This window comes from Homo sapiens, chromosome 3, assembly GCF_000001405.40.
Source record: "Homo sapiens chromosome 3, GRCh38.p14 Primary Assembly".
Classification (NCBI taxonomy): domain Eukaryota; kingdom Metazoa; phylum Chordata; class Mammalia; order Primates; family Hominidae; genus Homo; species Homo sapiens.
Genome location: NC_000003.12, coordinates 194924394 through 194947504, shown reverse-complemented (window position 1 = coordinate 194947504; position 23111 = coordinate 194924394). Strand labels below are relative to the sequence as shown.

Genomic DNA, 23111 nt, shown 5'->3' with positions numbered 1-23111 from the left:
GTCATTTTGACCCCAAACAGGACAAGTCTGATATGGAGTATTTTAGTTCCAGGCCCTTGTAGGACTGGCCAATTCTGTTGTTGGGTTTGCTTTGCAGCTGGACTTTCCCCTCTGCCCAATCTGGCTTTCCCCTCCTCTCCAAAGATATTCCCAAGAGCACTGCCTAAGAAACATTCTGCAGGCCGGGTGTGGTGGCTCATGCTTATAATCCCAGCACTTTGGAAGGCCAAGGCAGGAGGATAGCTTAAGCCCAGAAGTTCAAGACCAACCTGGGCAACATAGTGAGGCCTTGTCTCTACCAAAAAAAATTAATAATAATTTTAAAAGAAATTTTAAAAAGAGAAACATCCTGTGCACTAAACCTCAATCTCAGAGCCCATTTCCTTGGAGAGCCTAACCTGCAACAATGGGTAAATACTATAAGCCCTATCAATGGGTAAATACTATAAACCTGTCAGGGTTCTTTGAACTTTTCTGTTGTTCTCTGCTGTGGTCCAACACCTGTAATGATGCCTGACACACAGTATGTACTTGCTAAAATACATTTTAAGGCCAGGCTTGGTGGTTCATGCCTGTAATCCTAGCACTTTGGGAGGCTGAGGTGGGAGGATCACTTGCGCTCGGGAGTTTGAGACCAACTTGGGCAACATAGACCTCATCTCTTTAAAAAAAAATAAAAAAATTAAATTAAATACATTTTAAGATGAATGTCTATTTAATTGTACATGTATACTTGTCATTCTCCTTTGCCACGTTCTCCTCAAGGACAAAGTCAATGAAGTCATCTTCCCTGTCACTAGCTCCCAGCTTAGCGCTGGCAATCATTACTTAGAAAAGAAAGATGATTTTTTTTTTCAGCAGAGGCAAATACATAAATAGTGTAAATAGTCAGAGAATGGAGGGAAAGATCTTCCTAGACCAGGGGCCAGTTTCTACAGAGGAAAGAAAGACTCAGGTAGAAAGCTGGCGGTGGGGGGTGTAAGAGTCTGGTGATTGTCTTGAGCTGATGTTTGCTAGTGAGTGTTCTTTTTTCTTAGTGTATTTTTATTTGGGATGGATGATGGAAGTGATTGGGTGTAAGGCCAACTCAAGCCACCCCTGGCTGCGCCACCACCCCAGCTGAAAGCATTCCACTGTGCAGTGAAGGTCAGAAGCCTTCATGGGGTGTGAGGAGGCATTAATCTCCCCACACCCATTTCCTGAGCAGCTGCAGGGCCTGGCGGGAGGCCTGAGGATAGGACTCGGTGAGGAGAAGGGGCTCTGGGGGCCATGGGCTTGTTCCTGAAGATGCTTACAGGGAAACTGAGGAGACGACAGAAATGCATGATGAAAAATTAAGCGCCACTGGGACCGTAAGTGAGAGAAAACAAATAGAGTCGATGCAGGCGCTGTTATAGGCGGCCTCAGAGGCCAAGGAGCTCAGCAGAAGGATCTGGTCCGAATCGAAGCAATTTGTTATCCGTTCGGTTTTCAGCACCATGAACACACAAATAGAGATGAGTGTCGAGAGAAAAAGGGGGATAAATAAAGGCTTTAGATGGAGTTAAAATAAATGGAAGAAGTGATTGATGAGAGGAGGACTGGGAAATCGACGTATGAAAAAGTGGACGAATGAGAAATTCTAGAAAGTGGGAGAGGGAGGGAGGAAGTGAAGGAGATGCTTTTCAGCCGGCCTCCAAGTTGGGTCCTCGCCATCCTCTCAAACCAGCCCTGGGGTGCTCGCACGCGTTCCCCAGCGGTGTTCGGGGTTCCAGAAGGTGAACGTATGGTCTGGTGCGGCTCCCCTAGCTCCAGGAGCCCTCCTGCCCCTCCCAACAGCCTCAGGCTCCCTCGGGGCAGGAGACGAGGCCCTGCACAGCCCTTCAGCACCTGCTGTCTGCTTTGAAAGGGGCTGCAGGGAGTGCTGGGGCTGCTCAGAGATGCCTTCCCCCCTCTCTTCTCCTTGGTTCTTCGCTTCTGCTTCCTTCCTCCACTCTTCCTGCCTACCTCACCCCACCTTGAAGCCCTGATGTGCCCACTGGGGAATCAAGGGGCTACTGTTCATCATCTTAATAATTGTAATGATTGGAAACAGATCTTCCAGGCCCTGGCCCTCCCCCAGAGGTAAAAATTAAATGGTGGAATTATAAGGCAAAGTGTATAAGGAAGTTAGAAAAAAAAAGGAAGCTCTATAAAGATAAAGACCAACAAAATGAGACCCATTAATGGGGTCAGAATTTTGTTCCCTGGTTGCTCTCAAAATAGTGGCACACTTAAATGAGAAAAGTAAAATTAAATAGGTATGTATTTATTTCTTCAGATAGAAATGAGCACAAACGCCTAAAATAAATTGACCAGAGACCCTGAGTCATGTTAAAACTTAATTTAATGAGAGCTTGGTAAGTGTCTTTTCTGGTGGAATGGAAAGAGGACTGAAGTTAGGTCAGGAGACCCCATTCCACCGAGGGAGGGTCACCTTGAACAGCCCATTCCCCTCCCCAGCTACAATTTCTCAGCCTTCCGAAAGAAAGGATTGGTTAACAACTAATTTCTAGAGTTCTTCCAGTCTTGCTGTTCTAGCCCAGAATGAAGAAAGGGGATGAAAAAATGATTCCATCCCCCAGTGGGAATCAGCATGGGTATCCTTGTGCCAAGGTTGCCAATCCATCAGCACAAGGGCTGCACCCAAGCCAGGAGTGTGGACACACAGAGCTGGATGAACCAAAGGGAGGTGTAGAGATAGAAACACGCGTAAAGGGCTGGGCGCGGTGGCTCACACCTGTAATCCCAACGCCTGGGGAGGCCGAGGCGGGCGGATCACTTCAGTCCAGGAGTTTGAGACCAGCGTGGCCAACGAAACCCCGTCTCTACAAAATGGTGAAATCCCATCTCTACAACTCTACAAAAAAATACAACAATTAACTGATGATTAACTTGTAGGGGATAGGGGGATGAAGTTAGTCTTCAGTTAATTGGCATGGTGGTGTGTACCTGTAGCCCCAGCTGCTGGGAAGGCTGAGGCATGAGAATAGCTTGAGCCTGGGAGGCAGAGGCTGCAGTGAGCCAAGATCGCGCCACTGCACTCCAGCCTGGGTGACAGAGCGAGACTCTGTCCCCCAAAAAAGAAAAAAAGAAATATGCCTAGACTAGAGGAGGAGTCTGCTCAGGCAGAGAACTCACAGTTTCCCACTAAAATCTCTCCTCTGGACAAGAAGCAGGAATTAGGCCCCCAGTGCTAGGGTTCCCATGATTTCCAGTTTCAGGACCTCTCCCTTGTGAGTATAGTTCTATTTTCAGCATCAATTTATAAAGAACATACATACTTACAAAAAACTACATGAAGCTCTAACACTCAAATAAATTTGTATTACAACAGCATTTAGATTAATCTGAAAAATAGTAATGTATGTGTAGCTAAGAAATATTTATTCAGGGCCGGGCACGGTGGCTCATGCTTGTAATCCCATCACTTTGGGAGGCTGAGGCAGGCGGACTACCTGAGGTCAGGAGTTCGAGACCAGCCTGGCCAACATGGTGAACCCACGTCTCTACTAAAAATACAAAAATTAGCCGGGCCTGGTGGCGCGTGCCTGTAATCCGAGCTACTCGGGAGGCTGAGGCAGGAGAAATCACTTGAACCTGGGGGGTGGAAGTTGCAGTGAGCTGAGATGGCACCACTGTACTCCACTCCAGCCTGATGACAGAGCAAGACTCCCTCTCAAAAAAAAAAAAGAAAAAAGAAAAAAAATCATCATGGGATGGTGAAGCTCCTCAGGGTTAGGAGGGGCAAAGTGTGGGAGGGGTGGTCTGGGAATTCTGATAGGGCTGTAGCTGTGGCAGTGTGGGAGACTGTGGGAGGGTGTGGGAGAGATTGAGAGTGTGGGAGAATGTGGGAGAGTGTGGGAGTGTGGGAGAGAGTGGGAGAGTGTGGGAGACTGTGGGAGAGTGTGGGAGAATGTGGGAGAGTGTGGGAGTGTGGCAGAGTGTAGGAGAGAGTGGGAGAGTGTGGGAGAGAGTGGGAGAGAGTGTGGGAGAGAGTGGGAGAGTGTGGGAGTGTGGGAGAGTGTGGGAGAGATTGAGAGTGTGGGAGAATGTGGGAGAGTGTGGGAGAGAGTGGGAGAGTGTGGGAGAGTGTGGGATTGTGGGAGAGTGTGGGACTGTGGGAGAGAGTGGGAGAGAGTGGGAGAGCTTGGGAGAGTGTGGGAGTGTGGGAGAGAGTAGGAGAGTGTGGGAGTGTGGGAGAGAGTGGGAGAGTGTGGGAGGCGTGGTCTGGGAATTCTGATAGGGCTATAGCTGTGGGAGAGCCACTGGGTAGAAGTCCTGTCTTTGGTAGGGGATGCAGTTAATCTTCAGTAACCCGAAAGAGGAAGCTGAGAGAATTACTTCCCTACTTTCCTCCTGCCACTGACCTCCTGCTGTTCCTACCCAATGGCTTGTGTGGTTTTTTTCTGCACCAGTTCTGTAATTCTCCAATTCTCTGACACCAACTGGGTGTATAATAGTTCAATTTTTTTTTTTTAAATGGAGCCTCCTTTGTCACCCAGGCTGGAGTGCAGTGGTGTGATCTCGGCTCACTGCAACCTCCACCTCCCAGGTTCAAGCAATTCTCCTGCCTCAGCTTCCTCAGTAGCTGGGACTACGATGTGTGCCACCACACCCAGCTAATTTTTATATTTTTAGTAGAGACGGGATTTCACCATGTTGGCCAGGCTGGTCTTAAACTCTTGACCTCAGTTGGTCTGCCCGCCTCAGCCTCCCAAAGTGCTGGGATTACAGGCGTGAGCCACTGCGCCCGGCCATAGTTCAATTCAATTCTGACAGTAATTCCCAGACCCCATGGGTGAAGGGGTCAGTCTCATAAGAGGGTCCCCACTTGAGATGTGTTCCAGGTTCCCAGGCTACCCACACTTCTGTCCCCCTTGGCTACAAATTCAGGGGTTTCCCGCTTAGGTTTAATCATTTGCTAGAATGACTGACAGAACTCAGGAAGATACTTCGCTTACGTTTACCAGCTCCTCAGGAAGGAGAGAAGACAGGGACAGGCGAATGGGAGAGATGCCCTGGGCAGTGAGCTGGTGGAGGGAGGGGTGTGACCCAGAGCTCCCAGGCCCTGGCTGGGTACATCACCTTCCCATCAGTGTGTTCACCAACCCGGAAGCTCCCCACGTTGCTGTTAATCTCTAACCCTTCTCCCCTCCCCAAAGGTCAGGGGATGGGGCTGAAGGTGCCGCCCTCTAATTACATGTTTGATTTAATTACATGGGGTGACTAGTCCCCATCCTAAAGCCATCTCGGAGCTCCACCCTGAATCATCTCATTAGCATGAACTCAGGAATGGTGGCAAGGGGCTGTGTTGGGTAACAGAAGACACTCCTGTCATGCAGGAAATGCCGAGGGTTTTAGGAGCTCTGTGCCAGGAACTGAGGACAGAGACCTGATATAGTTTTTAATTATACCACGTGGCTCAACCCAATGGCACTCGAAGGCAAGTCAACCAGGCTTACACAGTCCAAGGAATGGCCTTCCAAAGCCCAGGGGCGGGTGGAGAAGGGTGGAGAGGAGGCCTGGAGGGGAGTGGAGGACACCCCGCACACCCTGGCCACACGCATCTGCTGTCCAGGGGTTCCCAGCACCACATCTTCCCACAGGCCAGGGAGGGAGCAGGACATTCACTGCAGCCCAGCCGGGCAAGAATTCAGAAGGCAGCGGCGCCCTGGCCCCACTCAGGCTCCACCAGGGACACAGCTAGCTGGGGGTAGACTCTTGCCCCCTGCTTCCCATCCTTTTCTGCCTGAGGGATGAATGATGAGCCAGAGCTGTTTCCTTAGCCAAATGCCCATGGCCTCTTTCTCCACTGCTTCTCAGCATCAGCCCTGCTGCCCTCGCGTCTGGCTTCTGCCTGGCCAACTGCCATGGCTTCCTAACTGGTCCTCCTGGGTCCAGCTTCTCTCCAGCCAGCAATGGCCCTGCACAGCCCCCTAACAACACAGCTCCTAGCCTGCCATCCAAGGCTTGTCACCCCATGTCACCTCATTTCTCAGTGTATTCATTTCCCTAAGCTCCGGACATACCAAACTCCTGCCAGTCACCAGGTGCAGCCTGTGCTTCCTGGCCTCCAAGTTCCCGTGGTCTGCTCTTCCTGCCTTATCCCATCTCTACCTGCCAGAGGCAAGCTTCTCCTCATCTGCCAGCTCCTCCAGGACAGCTTTCTACACCCTCAATCTCAGCTCTTTGAATGCTCTCAAGTTTCCATCTGCGTAACTCTAGCAGTGACCTTGTCCTATACGCTTTTTCTCGTGTGTTTTCCCAACACGTACTGATGGGGTTCTTCCTATGCCAGGCGCTGTGCCAGGCACTCAACAGAGAGTGGCGAGGGAAGTGGACCCTTGTCCTGTCCTCATGGAGCTTGCATCAGCCTAGCTGGGGAGACACACATTAATGAAAGAATCATACAGGCAACTGTCAAATGCAAGAGGGACGATGCTGCCGAGGAGTGGGATGTGCGGCCAACTGAGGACTGAACTGGGGATTTGCTTGAGTCGCGGAAGGCTGGGAAAACTTTTCCAAGGAAATCACACTGAGCTGAAAGCTGGGGGAAGAGTAGGGAAAGTTAATTAGGTGAAAAGATGAGGGCGGGTTAATCCAGACAGAAGAGACGGTGTGTGCAGAAGCCTTGTGTTGTATCTGCTATGCTCCTGTCTTCCCCCTGAACTATAAACGGTGGCCTTTTTGTGGCCACATCTGCTTGTGGATATGTCTAATCTCAGCCCAGGGCCTGGTTCTTACAGGCACTCAACAAATCTTTAAGTTGAATTAAATGGATCGAACTGAATTCCCACTCCCAAGCAGGCTGCTGCAGACCCCAGAACACCCTCCCCTACCCCCCGAGTTTGAGCCCAGGGCCCGGGGCAGTTTCAGTGACTGCTGCTGTCTGAGCCACATTCAGCTTTCAAGTGGTGCCAGCAGCCTGAGCCCCTCTGAGCCAGCAGTGGGGATTGTGTGTGGGCTGCCAGCAATATTGGCCATGGGGGCTACAGGTGAGGCCAGGAGCAGTGACCAGAGTGACCAGCACTATCTAGATGCTGCCCTTGCAAACAGTGACTGGAGCATGCCATGTGGAGGGAAAACTGCTGACCCAGCATCAGAGCAGCTTCTGCTTTGAGCAGATCCTCTGACCCCTGACGGGCAAGTGCCTCACCCCAGACCCTGGGGCCAGATACAGAGCGCCAGAGTCCCAGAGACGCCAGGGAGGCGCTTGAGAGGGCCCGGCACTGCTGCAGATCAGAGCCAGCATGCTAACAGTCATTTGGACCTGGGAGCTGACAAGGCCACTCTCTGCTAAAGAGGCCTGCGTAGGCCATTCTGTCAAGTGGGGCCTCATGTACAACTGCTTCTTGCAACTCCCTTGCATGTGGGAGAAAGGGGAAAGTTGGGGCTGGGTCTTCCTGTTCCGGCCCTCTGGGGAGCCAACCGGCACAACTGTCCCTAACGCCTGTGGTGCCTGGTTCAGGTCGGGGGTGGGCAGGGCTCCTCGAGGACATTGGAGGGTCGTGGAGGGGGTACGTACCCTGCGGGGTCCTGCAGGCCTGATGTCCCAGCACCCAGCAACCCAGGCCTGTCATGGAGACAAAGGGGCACATACTTGAACTCATCAGGATGCAACGGATGGCCTGCGCTCCCCAATCCAGGGCCACCCCAAGCCTTCCAGCGTCTCCCTATTCCCTATTCCCTCCTAGAGAAGCCCGTGGTTAGCTTGGCATTTTAGGAGTTGAGCACCATTGCACACAAACCCCCTTCAGGCTCCTTCACTCCAGCCCTGCTGGACCGTGTGTTCCTACCCAGCATGTTCCTGCCACATTGCTCATGCCACCTGGAGTCTTTCTACTCCATCCCAGCAGATTCCAGCTCTGCCCAGCCCACATTCCTTTCACCTCCTCTACACGACCTTCTGAGACTTCTGCAGTTAGAAGCAATGTGTCCCCCTTCTTTGAGTGGCACTTACTCCCTAGGGTGTCTCATAGCTACTTGTGCACTTGTCTGATCAGCCCCTTTGGCCTTACCTCTGAGAACAGGAATCCTGTCCCCAACACTCATTCTCCGTCTCCCCTCTACCTCCCCTGCACCCAGCACCCTGTACCAGCATGGTTGCCCTGCCCACACTGAACGCCAATTGACCTTGGGGTAGTCACTGGGAGCTCAGCCCTGGGACTCCAGCTGTCCCAGTGAGCCCATCAGCATTCAGGGATCCTGCGTAAGACAGTTACAGAGGTGCCGTCCCTGTAGTCTCAAAGCCCTTTTCCTCTCCCAGAGGAGGTAGAGATCTTCTTGCCCAGAGAAGAACAGAGCTGAGATGGTGCACAATGTTTTCTGGGCTGTCAGCCCTCCCGGCGGTCATCATTAATCCCTAGAAAGGCTGTGCTTACGTCATTATTCAGGAGAAAATGTACAACCCAGAACAAGGCTGGCTCTTGGCAGAGGCAGCAGCCAGAGGAGCCAAGAACATTTGTCAAGAGGGGAAGCATCACAGAAGGCCTTGCCCTGCTGCTCCTCCCAGGGGGCCAGTGGCTCTAAGATCCCCTTCAGCTTCTCTTGCCTCTTGCTTGCTTTGGAATGGCCCCATTCTGGGCAGATGCTGGGCCCCAAACCACCCTATTGAGGTCTGACGGGGGAGAGGAGAGCAGCCAGTCTGGACGATGGGTGGCCGACAGGAGGGTGAGGCAGGGTTGACCTTTGAGCCACACCTCCTTTGAGGGACAGGGCGCTTTTCCCTTCCCACTTATAAAGCTACTCTTTTCCCTGCCACTGCCAGGCATCTGAGTGATCTGGGCACCATGATGGTAGCAGCTACTATTCCCATGTCTGCCATGCCCAGGTACTGCTCTAAGCACTGCGCATCTTAATACTCACAAAATATTGTGAAATGGTTTCTAGTTTCATCCCCACTTGATAGTTAGAGAATCTGAGGTACAGAGAGGTTAAGTAAGTCATCTAAGATCACACAGAGAGTAAGCGGGATTTAAATCCAGGACCATCTATTCTAACGGCGGAACAGTTATTTATTCTGCTGTTTCTGGTGTTCAAAATTCCACTGCCGTCAGCTGAGAAAATGCATGTGCAACCTTGACCATGTCACCTCGCCATCCTGGGCCTGCTGGCTATTCAACAGAAAGGAGATGATCTTGGGAAATACTTGCAGTGAGAATTCATTTCATTAAGGGCATTTTGCAAAGTGCCTGGAGGCCCTGGAGGACCGAGAGCCAGAAAACATCTGCATAGAAGCAGCGTGGGCATGAACGGGTGCTAGACCCCTAGGTGCTGATATCTTCCCAAGGCCATGTCGACAAAGCGAAACTAGATGGTGGCGCCATTGCCCCAGCCAGCCTTGGTGCTGGCACTTTGACCAACAAGGCCGTGTCTTGTTCTACCTGATGACATCACCTCTGGTAATGGGTCTTCCTGCTTGTCTCCCAGAACTCTGTGTTCCATTCCTTAACAGAAACTAAGCAATAACATAAGGAAGTCCACATGTCATTAACATTCTGAGGAGATGGAGTCACTCTTGTGAATGAAACACCCAGCTCCAGGTAGTTTTTGCCTGACATCTCACTGTTTCATTATTTCACTCAGCTTCTCACTGCCAGTGCGGGCTGCTGGCTCTTTTCCCCAAGGCCCCCATCTCAGGCCTTTAATTTCTTTTGGATTCCTGGGTGGAGAATTCCAGGGTGTACCAGCCACAGGCGGTAATTCATTTTTATTTTTATTATTTTTTTTTTGAGACAGAGTTTCACTCTCGTTGCCCAGGCTGGAGTGTAATAGCACAGTCTCGGCTCACTGCAACCTTCGCCTCTGGGGTTCAAGTGATTCTCCTGCCTCAGCCTCCCAAGTAGCTGGGATTACAGGCAAGCGCCACCACATGCCTCTAATTTTGTATTTTTAGTACAGACGGGGTTTCTCCATGTTGGTCAGGCTGTTCTCGAACTCCTGACCTCAGGTGATCCACCTGCCTCGGCCTCCCAAAGTACTGGGATTACAGATGTGAGCCACCGCGCCAGGCCAGTAATTCATTTTGGAAATCATCTGACCTGGACCTTTCCAGGGTGTACCAGCCACAGGCAGCGATTCACTTTGGAAAGCTTCTGAGCTGGTCCTTTGCTGTCCTCCTGCCTGCAAGACCCAGATTTGGCTTGGGTTTGGCCATGTTACCTTTGCCTGGAAGGACAAACAGGCACAGGGTGACTGACTCACAGCTTTTCTAGGTGACTGGTTCTAACGACAAACACTGGCTCTTGGGGAGTTTAGAGCATGTGAATTATGGGAAACTTGGGTTGGAAGCAGCTCCCCACACAATCTGTAGTTTGACTCTTGTTGATGTTTGAATCTTTTCTATTATATTCCCAGCAAGTGGTTGTCAAGCATTTCCTTGCATGCCTTCATTGATGGAGAGCTCACTACATCCCCAGCCAGCCCAGTGCCTTCATTGATGGAGAGGTCACTACATCCCCAGCCAGCCCAGATGGAAAGGGCAGTCCTTTGGTGTTTTCACAGAAATTCCCTACCACGGAAACCAGAAGTAGGGAGCTAGGAGCACCTGCTTAACTAATCCTGCCAGAGGGTCGAACATCCCCTTAGCCATTAGCTCTGAAGGGGCCCTTGGAGATGACCTGGCCCCACGGCCTGATTTAACAGAGATACAAGCAACTTCTCTAGGCATAAGTTATCAGCGGCAGGTCTTCCTCTAATTGCACTGACAGCTGACACTGGTTGGGACCCTGATTACCTTCCAGGAACTTTGATCACTGCTTCATGCTGTATGATCTCATGTAATTCAAGCTGCTGTTGGGAACTTGTAAGATGGTTATTATTCACATAACAGATGAGGTGACCAAGGTTCAAAGAAATAAAATAATTTGCCCCAAGTCACAGCAGCTCATTAATGGCAGAGCCAGGCCTTGAACCCAGGCCTGTCTGAATCCATGTTCTCGGCTACTCTTCTCGTCTAAGCATGGTGCCTGGCTTCACAGAAAGTACAAGGGTTGAATTTTCTTTTGCGGAGGAAATTGATTGGGACTTATTATTAGGAATTTTAAGATGCATAGTATTCTCTGAGTCTGTGTATAAATCTGAGGTTAGGTCTATGCAAATAAGAAAATTTGGGGAAATATATAAGCAAATGATAGAAATCTGGTTTAGCTGCTTGTCTGCACATCTAGACACTTCCTCCCAAACTCGTCTGCATGTGTAGTTACAGCCCGAAGGCCTGGAGGGTACCTGTTATTCTCGTCAGGAGAGTAATTTGTTTCATTTCCTGACTTGTATGATCTCCAGGTGAGATCATGAGAAGCTAGGGATGCCTAGTATTTAGTTTATAAGAACAGAGCGCCAAAGAAGATTTTTTAAAAAATTGCAGTGGAAATTGCTGATTGCTGGAAAAGAAGTTAACATGATCTTATTTAAAACAATGAAAAGAACTTTTTAGCAATTAATTTTCCCTAAGGTGAAAACTTCGCTAAGTCAAAGCTACGGTTTGAGATTTAGCTGTGAGAATTGCTCTAATATGGAGAGACAGCCTTTGGGTACTTAAATTTTCAGTGCTGACTTAATTAAGGTTTTAGAGCATCCCAAGGCACTCGTCAAAGCTCCTATGTCTCTCGTTCCCTCCTAGCAAAAGCAAGAGGGGAAGCTGGCTGAAATTTCTGTATTTCCACTCAGTTTCTCCAACAAAACCTGCTGGTTGAAGGTAAGATTTCTTATTAGTCTGGAGGTCATTGGGCTAAATAATTCCTCACATTTTCCTGAAGTCAGATTGAACTTTGTTGTTGACTTTTCTGTTGCACGATTGAAACTGTTTTTGCAAAAATTATAACTGAGACGATTACTCCAGTGAAAGAGATCTGTCCTGACTGGCTCCATCTTGCGTCTAACCTCCAGGCCGTCCTTGTTCATTCTGGGGGCGTAGGCTGAACTAACTTTGGGAGGAACTTAGTTTATGGTTTAGCTTTGAAACAAAGATGGTAACAGCCCTTTCGCAAAACAAACCCCCTTTCTGCCTGGGGACTAGACTGCTTTTGCAGGACTCACAAATTAGCCACAAGATTAGAAATTATGGTTTAGGAGTCCTGCAGCTGGAGGCTACAAGATTCTAAACCTCCCCAAATTTCTCTTGGGGATAACGTCACTGTTGTAAAACCTGAGATCAATGATTGAGATATTTTGCAGGTCCTGCACTCGGTGGATCAGCTGTCACCACCAAGACTGACAAACTGGCTCATCTAGTCTTGTGGCCCGCACCCAGCAACTGACTCAGCACCAGAGGACAGCTTCACTTCCCTGATTTCATCTCCAACCCAACTGACCAGAACTCCCAACTCACTGGCCTTCCCCTACCCACCAAATTATCCTTAGAAACTCTGATCCCCTAGTGCTCGGAAGACTGATTTGAGTAATCATAAAACTCCAGTCCCCCACACGGCTGGCTCTGTGTGAATTACTCTTTCTCTATTGCAATCTTCCTGTCTTGATAAGTCAGCTCTGTTCAGGCCACAGGCAAGGTGAACCCTGGGCTGTTACACCCTGATGGGGTTACCTTTGAGAAGAAAGCATCTCCAGAACGCAAGAAACAGAATCTTTCTTTTGCCTTTTCCAGCTGTCTTGGAGGGAGACTTTTACCAAAGCTCCAGGTCACTTTGCACACAGGGCTGCGCTTGGGGCAGAGCGGCTCTGACCATATATTTAGGCCAAGCTGGGGCCTTCTATTAATACCACTGGCGATTTGGAAGCAGACTCATCAGGTTGGTGTATGTGATGAATAGCCATGGATATTTATATATTTATATATGCATCACTTAACAAGGGGAATATGTTCTGAGAAATACATTAAGCAAGTTCATCATTGTGCAAACATCATGGAGTGTACTTACACAAACCAATATGGTGTAGCCTATTAGACACCTGGACTGTCTGGTATTGTCTATTGCTCCTCCACTGCAAACCTGTACAGCATGTTACTGTGTTGAATACTGCATGCAATTGTAATGCAATGGTAAGTATTAGCATATCTAAACATGCCTAAACATAGAAAAGGAACAGTAAAAATGCAGGATTACAATCTCTTTGGACCCCTGTCATATAGACAGTCTGTTGTTGACTGAAATGTACTTATAGTTGTATGGCGCTTGACTGTATTTCCATGAAATTTTGGACTCTACCAATGTTTATTTGTTGGATAACTATGGAAGAGTGAAATGGCACTTTGGCCATTTTGATATGTGTGAAATTGCCATCTCAAAAAGCTGCACTAGTTCAAATGCACACTAAGAGTCTCTGCCTCTGAAGTCTGCTTCCCCACGCCGTTGTCAACACAAAGTGATATCAGAGTTTTCCATCTTTGCTGATCAGAAAGATGAAAATGGTGTTGGCTTGTTTAGTTCGTATTTCTTTAGTTAGGAGTGAGCTCGAACATCTTTTCACGTGTTGATTGGTCATTTGTTTGGACTTCTATTCATGTCCTTTGCCCGTGTTTTCTTCCATTGTTATTAGACTGTAAGAACCACTGACCTCTTCGTTTGATGTGCTAAAGTTTGATGTGTTCATGTCAACACCCTCCTCCCAGCTCCCCTCTTCACAGCACCGATGATGTCTGCGGGCCTGAAATTCAAATAGACAGGGGGAGCTCTTTAGGGTCCCTTACTCACACACTGCCTTTGAGGCTTGAAATTCTATGACCCAGAGAATTCAGCATTCCCGATCGTTTCTGGTTCTGCAGGAAAACAGGCCAACAGGAGATTTTGCTTGTTGTTCAGTGCCTCAGCCTGACCAACAGGATGGTGACAAGGACAGGGGTGTGTCCCGTTGTCCTGATTCAACTTCAGTCTTAGGCAGGCCTTGTGTGTCTCTTGATTTGGAGGTTGGAGCTTTCTCAGTAATCCTGCCCCTCTTCCCTGTGGCGGCCAAACTGCCGTGTATTTCAGGCTGTTCTTGTGCCCAAGAGAGTTTTCTGCCCCCTCCCCACCACCCACCCAACAGAAGACCTCTAATCAGCTGGATCCAGCCAGGGTGGTCTCTGCCCCTCCTCAGAGGTTGAAGTTTTCATCTTTACTCCTTCTCCTACTTACAGTGAGTGTTCTTGGGACAGCAAGCTTTGCCCTTTCCCTACTGGCTTAAGGCCTCAGGGGAGAAGATCCTGGACAAGGCTTTATGCTTTTGCCTGCAGCATCAGTGCTCCTATCTGCAGGACTGCACCTCTCAGGGTGGCTTTCTCCTGTTCTCTCTCCTGTCCAATCTTTCTTGAGAGCATGGGGTGGAGGTTTCTGGAGAAGTCTGTATGTGAGAGCCCCTCTTGTGTCTGCAGTCTCAGAGTCTGCAACCCCCTGCCAGCCCACACTTCATATTTAGTGATTCTTTAAGGTTCAGGTAGAACTTTAAAGAATCTTCTGGAATGTAGAGCTGTGGCTACAAAGCAGCTTTAGTTTCTCTGTTAGGGACTGTTTTTCCCAGCCTCCCTTGCAGCTAGGTGAAAGACTAGTTTTCACGAATAAGATAATAATAGAACTGCTGTCTTTCACTAATATGTTGTGATGATTAAGAAGTGTGCCTTTTCTGTGGCCTCTTTTGTGATTCACCAGCTGAATGAGAGGACTCTGAGGTCCTAGCAGAGGGAAGAATTCAAGACAGACAAAGCCAATCACAGAAGGCTGCCCAGAAATGTCTGCCTTGGACTCTGCCATGATGGGAAATAAATGTCTATTGTGTTAGGCCACTGAAATTTTGAAGTTTTTATCACAGGAGTTAGACTACCCTGACTCACTGAAAGACGGGTTGGCAAAGAAACATCAGTCTTTGATAATGTTAGCCGTCTCTGCCACAGTCTTGGAGAGATTGGGTAGACAAGGATGTTGATCACTTGGTTCCAGAAAGGATTAAGTCTTGAAAAGACCCCATGGAATACTTTACAACCATCCTCAGCGAGGGGATATTTGGAGTGTGCCCTTGGGTGATTTAGAGTGTGAGGTGGGGGAGACTTGAGGTGTGAGCAAGAGGATATTGGAGCTGTGAGCTCGGGAGATTTGGGAGTGTGAGCTGACCGTTTCCTACATTTAGGCAGGGGCATAGGCTGAGGCTTATTTTGCCATATTAAATGCAAATTCTTCCATCTACCTCTTAAGGGTCTTCATAATCTTGCCCCAACATACTTTCCTAGCCTTCCTGCGCTGTTCCTCTGCCTGTCCCCCAGGCTGGGGGTACATAGTGTCCTATCACCCTCCTTGAGAGCAGATCAGTTTCCATTCACTCACTTCCTCATCCATTCCTTTACTACAGAGGAGCACAAAAATGAATCCGTTAAGGCCCTACCCTCAGAAGTTCCAGTGCTTATGTGCAATGACCTTTTCAGAATATGCCTTTGCTGGGAACTGGAAATGCTGATACCAGAAGGCCTCCTTCCTTGGGGAAATATGCCTTTACTGCCCTGCCTTTCTCTGAGTCAATACTTACTGCAGACACTCTAGGCTGGTTCTGCTGTCTACACAAGAGTCCCTTCCACAGATTTCCCGGCAGCAGTCACCTGGGGTACACTAGAGGTAGGCCAAGGTCAGGGGGTTCACTGCTCCCTGGGGCATCCAGCTAAAATGTTCTTCCTTGTATGGAACTAAATCCTGTTTCCCTTTTGTTCCTACTTTGGCCCTCTGGGGTTAAGGTACAAATCTGCCTCATTGTCCCCAAGGGAGATCTTCAGAGATTCATCGGGTCTTTTCTTTAGAAAGACGTCCATTAGACACCACTGTCTTGCTCTGGGACCCTGCTCACCTTGGTTTTATTCAGTTCATCACAGAGGTCCTCCAGGTCACGCTCCCCATTCCTGGCATCCTCACTTGCATCTGTGTGGACTCTGCTTCTCAGGTCACTGACCACATGCCAAGGAATGGCAAAGCACTAAGTTAAAACACGGTCTGCTTTGACGTGCTCCAGCCAACACTGTGTAGGAGGAAACTGGGAAGGCTGTCCTGGTAGACAGGCACTTTGTCCTCTCACTCTGGAAAACTTTAAGGAAGATCTTGCATACATTTGGGCATATTCAGAGACGGGCTTGTAAAAGGTTAAAGTGAGTTTTTTAGAAGTTATCAATTTGCTTTTCTCCCTTTGGACATTCTCCAAATGACACTCTTTTTGGAAAAAAATTTAAATAGTCTGAAACTCCATGAAATACACTTTAAAGCTGTAGTGGGCAGTAAAAATGTGGCATCTGTTTAACTGATTGCAATTTCTACTGGAAGGATCTGTGAGCAGCATTTTTAAAAGCTTTTTCTTTGCCTTTGGTTTCTCTTTGTGTCCCATTTGAGTAATTTCCTCTGACATCCTTCTGTCCCTGGGCCTAGAAGCCTGGTAAATAAGCTGGCCCCAGAGAGATCCAGGAGCCAGCAATATCCTGGAAACCTTAGGCCACGAGGTTAAGCACAAAACCGCTCTCTTTCCAGGAAGGAATGATTGAATCAGAGTAACGACCTTGGCTTTCAATTAGTCCTTGTCCAGCTTTTCCCACTGTTTTCCTCTCTGCTGCCTGCCCACCATGCCCCAAGCTGTGGAGGAGCTGGACCTGCTCCAGCTCTCCTGACCCTGGGACGCTGCACAAGTGTATCCTGTCATTGGTGTGTGCCTCAAGACTTCATGGGCCTACAAAGCTGAGCTGAGTCAAGCTTCCTCCCCAACTCCGAGAAGAATGCCTGTCAGGAAGCTCAAATATTTAGAGAATGTGAAATACAGGATTTTAATGGAAGCATTTTTCACCTCCTCTAGAAAGAGGCTATAGAGTTAGTGGTTGGTCTGTCTGCAAATTATTCTTACTCACCCTAGTGTGCCTTCCTGATTTCAACACAACAAGCTCTTGGTGCTTTTGTCTACCACAAAGAGATTTTGGCTGCAGTGATTCTCTCCACAGGTGCAGTCCAGTGGCTGTTGAAATGCAGGCACGGCTGTTAGTAAAGGGACCTGCCTCTGGATGTTCTTCTGCAATTATGGTGCCAGCCATGCTACAGGAAGACGTCAGGCAGGATGTCGAAACGTATTTCTAGATACTGTGCCTGGACTTGAGACCATGATGTTAGCAGCAGGACAGGAGAAACTCTAGTGTCTCTTTTGCTACTTGGCTCCAACACAAGTGGATAAAGTTTTCAATAATATTTTACTTTAAATTGCCATCCTTTCCATGGGAAGTGCCAAACCCTCTCCAGTCAATGCAATAGAGATGTTGCCAAAAGTAAAATTACACAATTTTTGCTTTGTCTGGTATGGTCTGTTGGATGAGTTCTCTTCTTTGCTGAAATAGATACATATTTATACATATCATAATGAAGATGCTTGAGGCTGGGCGCACTGGCTCACACATGTATTTCCAGCACTTTGAAAGGCTGAGATGAGAGGATCACTTGAGCCCAGGAGTTCAAGACCAGCTTGGGCAACACAGTGAGGCCCTGTCTCTACAAAAAAAAAAAAAAAAAAAAAAATTATCTGGGTGTGGTGGCACACGGTCATAGTCCCAGCTACTCCTCAGGCTGAGATGGGAGGATTGTTTGGGCCTGGGACATGAAGACCTGGGTGACAGAGTGAGACTCTGTCTCAAAAGAAAAAAAAATGCTCAAATTAAACATTAAAATAATGAAGTTGAGAGCATAATTCACATCTCTGGGCTACTGAGCTCCAACTACTTCACTGCTTTGGAATTTAAAAAAAAATCCTTGTGTAGCAGTATTGGCTTTTCCAGATGAAATTGGGCTGTACAAACATACTTTGAGATTGTGTGATTTCACTTAAAATGTGTGTCCTGGCTCAGAGACTTCATACAAAATCCAGTAGGTTCAGAGAAACATAATCCTTACTCTTGGATCACTTTAGAAAAAAAGAGTTCAGCCTTATGTGAAGCCAGAACAAAAATTTTTTTAGAGCCAAAGCCTTCCGTGTGGTGTTTGAGCCCGACTATTACTTCGTTGAGTGGGAATAATGGCGGCGGAAGGGAGAAGCCACGTGACTAAAGCAAAGTTCACGGTGTGACCGCTAGGGGATGGATCCGAAAAGTTCACGGCGTGACCGCTAGGGGATGGATCCGAAAAGTTCACGGTGTGACCGCTAGGGGATGGATCTGAGTCACACGGCACCAAAGTATCTTCGCAGCAGCGACTCTGTACTGGCCTGCAGCAACCTCAATTCTTGCCTCCCTGGAAGAAAAAATTTGACTAAGGGACATAAGACAGAATGAGAGACCAAGGCAAGTTTTAGAGCAGAAGTGAAAGTGCATTCAAAAGCTTTGGGGCAGGAATGAAAGGAAGTACAGTACACTTGGAAGAGGTCCAGGAGGGTGACTTGAGAGATCAAGTGCACAGTTTGACCTTTGACTCGGGGTTTTATATGTTGGCACACTTCCGGGTGGTCGCAACCCATCTCCCCTGATGCTTCCCTTGGGGTGGGCTGCCCACAAACATAGTGGCTTGCCAGCACTTGGGAAGGCCGCATGCGCAGTGTTTACTGAGGTCGTGCGCATGCTCACTCGAGGCGTTTTTCCCTTCCCAGTCCAGCATTCCTAGAGGAAGGTCATATACCAGTTAAACTCTGCCATTGTTCCTCTTAGTGCGCATGCTTGAGCTCAGTTACCAAGCCCCTGCGATCTCACTGGGAAGCTGCTGATCGCCAGTTTCAGATGTTTCTATCGATTGGAAGACTGCCTTTCCCTAGTGCTGGCTGCGACCAATTATTATTAATATTTTAAAGAGACAGTTAACAATCACCTGATGGTCGCCTGACATTCCTGGTCGGGGGTGGGGGGCCCTTTCCTGCCCTGCTCATGTCTGACTACCTACAGTAACAAAGGTCCTTTGAGACTCATCCCCCTGCCTCATTCCCTGACTCCCCATCAGCACTTGCTGCTGCCTCTCCACTTGGGAGGAAGAAGGAGTGTGGAGAGACTGAGTAGGCAGGGACAAGTGGGCAGTGAGAATTTGAACATATCTCCTTCAGTGTGGGGTGTATGATTTGCAGATGAGGAATAGACCGATAACATTTCTTTGACTTTGAAAATGCCTTTGACCCCTTGCAACACAAAACTTGCTTTACTAGCTTGGAAGACACATATGACTACATCTGTTTGTAATGTTCAGACTAATCACTTTAACCACCCCCACAGCCAAACTCACAGGAAGTTGGTCCCTCTTGAGATATTCCACCTTGTTTATCTGAGAATTCTTGTGCTCTCTCAGTCTGAAGGGACTTGTTGTGGGCTGAAGAAGGGAAGAACCAAGGCTCCCCCTCAGTCTTTCTCATTAACTGATTGGGTTGGGGAATCTACACTTAGGGAGGTCTAAGTTCCTTTTGTTCTCTGACTCCACATCCAAATGCTGCTAGTGGCCCATGGGGAGCTTTGGAGGAGGGTCTACTTGGACTTCTTTCCTGCCAGATCGTCCCAGACTCAATCATCTCAGCCCATCAGAGATCTTCTAATAGTGGGAATCTTCAAAAGGAAGGAGTCAGTGTTGCTTGTGAACTCTTCTCTCAGGAGGCTTCTTGACCTCTGCAAGTTCACCAGTCTCTTCCCAGAAGAGGGCAGTGAGATGGAGGAGGGACATGCTTATACTTGGTTTGGAAAATCTTCATGCTTGTGAATGAATGTAGGTTTAACCTTTTCCCACTCCCAAGGAGAATTCTGTCCACAGTAGGACGGTCTCACAAGACACAGGAGAGCTATGATGTTTCGTTGTGTTATGCGATAGAGAGTTTGAGGCTGTGGCAAGTGCTAGAAAGGCGTAAAATTTAATCCTAAGAAGTTTACCTTGACTTCAGCTATCTGCTCCAAGTAGAGGAGATACCTGGTAGCAGTGACATTAGTTTCAGAGTCCGCTCGCCTAGGCATGTGTGACTAACTGACAGTATATAGAACCTAGTCTGTGACCAGTTTTCTTTTCCCCAAAATTTTATTTAAAAAATTTCAATCCTACAGAAAAATATCAAGAACAGCTCTATAATAGGCACTTATGATCTGCATACTTTTCTGTAAGTATGTGATACTTCAATAAAAATTAAGAATAATATGATAAACATTCATATATTCTTCAGCTAGATCCACCAATTTTAATGTTTTGCTATATTCGAATTCTTTCTCTTCTCTCCTCCACCCAGACACACACAGAGAGATACACACGAACACACACATGTATTCATTATATATTAAAATGTGTATATATATGCATATATATTCTAATTTTATTTAACTATTTTAGAGTATGTTGCAGACATCATGATTCTTCATCCTTAAATACTATTTATTGCCTAAAAATAGGGCATTCTCCTACACAAACATGATCCTAGTATTACTTTGAGAAAACATTGATACAAAAGTATTATTGGGTAGTGCATGTTAAAGTTTTCCTAAGTCCATTGTATATGGATTTAAAAATATGTAGGATACAATCAAGGATCACACATCGCATTTAGTTGCCAAGTCTCTTTAGTATCTTTTAATCTAGAATAGTCCTCCTGTTTTCTTTTTTTGTTGGTTTTTTATGACACTGACATTTTTGAGAAGTCTAGAGAATTTGAATACTTCTGATTTACAGAACTTGAATATTTCTGATTGTTTCCTCAGGATGTATGTTAAACATTTTTGACAGGAATAGTACCTAGATGATATTGTTTACTTCCCATTCACTGTATTTCATGGTGGTGGGGTGGGGTAAGGGGAACCCAATGTCTTCTGGTCCCATTATATAAAGGTGATGTTAAAGTTTGATCGTTCAATTAAGGTGACGTTGTTTGATTGTTCAGTTAAAGTGATGTCAGTCAGATTTCTCCTCTATGACTAAAATACAACTCAACTTCCAAAACGAATCTCATAAACATGACACAAGATTGAACATTATTAAAAACACACGAAAAGGAGTTTCAAAATGAAGGAGAAAGGAGAAAAGAGTTCATGAACCTTAATAAAGATGAATAAAAACCATCCAATCTGAATATCATGGAAAAAAAAGACTAGACAAAATGAACAGAGCCTCAGTAAACTGTAGGATGATATCCAAAAAGGCCTAAGATATATGTAGTTGTGGTTCCAAAAGGAAAAGACAGAGATAATGAAGCAAAAAAAATTTTTTTTAACAAATAGCGACTGGATTTTCTAAAATTTGGTGAAACACACAAATCTACATATTCCAGTTCAGAAAATTCCCCTCTTTTTCCCTGCTCCCCTGCCCCATCCAAATATACAAAGAAAGCCATACCTGAGCACGTCAAAGTCAAACTGCTGAAAACTACAGATGAAAAGCTTTTGAAAGTAGCCGGAAAAAAATGGCACTTTACATGCAAATTGCAATCGCATGACTTATCAGAAATAATGGAGGCCAGAAGATAGTGGAATGGCAACTTTAAAGTGCTGAAAGGGACTTCTGGTTTCAGGTCCAATATGTAGAGAGCTTGGAAGTCATGATTTTCCTTTTTACAGTAAGAAAATGCTGAACAAACTGAAAATCAGCAACTTTTCATGGGCTCCTCAGACAGCTGAGGTATCAAGGCAAACACCGCATGTGATCTGGGGAGACAGTTGCATCCAGAGTCACGGCGGAGATGTGTTTTCCCAGAGCAGAAGCCCCTGGAGCCAAACTCCCCGGGGGACTTGAGTTCGCTTTGTTCAAACTGGTAGGAACACTTCAATTTTGCGTAATTTTGATGGATTGCCAGATGCTAAGTGGACGAGTGTGAAAGTGGGAAACTCCTGGGGGAGGCAGTCTTTGGCCCTCCTCGCAGTGTACGGGTTTTACCTCTGGGAAATCACCAGGTTCGCATGGCGAAGAAACAACAAAGAGCCAGCAAAGATACTGTCACGGCTCTGGCAGGAGGGGAAGGGTGACCATAGTGAAAAGAGCATTTTACATAACACAGACCTACTCTTCAAGATTCCCAGAGCTTTAACCCATCTGCAGGAAAGACATTTCTCCTACTCCAGCTCCTTGTCTCACCTGAGGTGGAAGTGGTGCCGGGAAAGCTGAGAAACACCTGCCAAAGTCACAGCCTGCGGACCCAGACCCACTAAAAGACCATGATTTGGCCGGGCGCGGTGGCTCACGCCTGTAATCCCAGCACTTTGGGAGGCTGAGGCAGGCAGATCATGAGGTCAGGAGTTCAAGACTAGCCTGACCAACATGGTGAAACCCTGTCTCTACAAAAAATACAAAAATTAGCCAGGTGTGGTGGCGTGCACCTGTAATCCCAGATACTTAGGAGGCTGAGGCCAGAGAACCACTTGAACCCAGGAAGCAGAGGTTGCAGTGAGCCGAGACTGCATCACTGCACTCCAGCCTGGGTGACAGAGCGAGGCTCCTTCTCAAAAAAAAAAAAAAAAAAAAGAAAGACGATGATTTAATCGTGTGATTATTGATGACTTCCTCTTCTCTACACTTTGTTACTGTAGGGAACAAAGAAAAACTTCCTTTTTGCTCTCTGAAGGTTTGCTGACAATCAACTGACAAAAGGCAGATGAATAGAGACAAAGACACACAAATTCATTGTACTGTGCGTAGCATGGGGGACTTGCAGGAGAATGATCACCCAATAACCCAATGGAATCCAGATGTTTATATAACTTTCTTGATAGGGGAGGGAGCAAATGGGAAATGTAGGTAATTCTTTCTTATTTTTTTCTGAATCTAATTTGAAAAGCCATGTTATTTCTTTTGAGGATCAATAAATTATTATTAGGGAGAATGAGTGGATCAAAAGTTAATCTGTAAATGATTCTCTTTGGAATGTGAATGACCCTGAGAGACAGATATCTGATGAAAAGGTCCATCCTGGTGTGGTTACATTCCTCAGCCTTCATCTCTGTCATAGACATTGAGATTTCAGGGAGGGGATGGGAAGCAATTGTTCTCCTTGGTGGGTCCAGTTTTTATGTAGCTAAGAAAAAACCCATTCCAGCATCTGCTGATCTCTAAGAGCCTTAATTCAAAATACTCATCATACCGGGGCAACGTATTTTGGTGTGAAATTATTCTGGTTTCCTCCACCACCATTCCAAAAGGGCTCCAGTGTAATTCAGTACAGTGTATTACAGCTGAGAGAGTTGAAGACACAAATTCTTTCTAAAGAGGAGACAAAAATAAGGA

At 47.2% G+C, this 23111-nt stretch overlaps 3 annotated features.

Moving 5' to 3' along the window:
• Nucleotides 1291-1791: an enhancer, noted in NCBI's record as "H3K4me1 hESC enhancer chr3:194666443-194666943 (GRCh37/hg19 assembly coordinates)". NCBI's record gives its function as "activates a minimal SCP1, AML or CMV promoter by ChIP-STARR-seq in naive H9 embryonic stem cells {active_cell/tissue: H9 hESC(naive)}" and the evidence as "EXISTENCE:reporter gene assay evidence [ECO:0000049][PMID:30033119]".
• Nucleotides 1792-2292: an enhancer, noted in NCBI's record as "H3K4me1 hESC enhancer chr3:194665942-194666442 (GRCh37/hg19 assembly coordinates)". NCBI's record gives its function as "activates a minimal SCP1, AML or CMV promoter by ChIP-STARR-seq in naive H9 embryonic stem cells {active_cell/tissue: H9 hESC(naive)}" and the evidence as "EXISTENCE:reporter gene assay evidence [ECO:0000049][PMID:30033119]".
• Nucleotides 3573-4073: an enhancer, noted in NCBI's record as "H3K27ac hESC enhancer chr3:194664161-194664661 (GRCh37/hg19 assembly coordinates)". NCBI's record gives its function as "activates a minimal SCP1, AML or CMV promoter by ChIP-STARR-seq in primed H9 embryonic stem cells {active_cell/tissue: H9 hESC(primed)}" and the evidence as "EXISTENCE:reporter gene assay evidence [ECO:0000049][PMID:30033119]".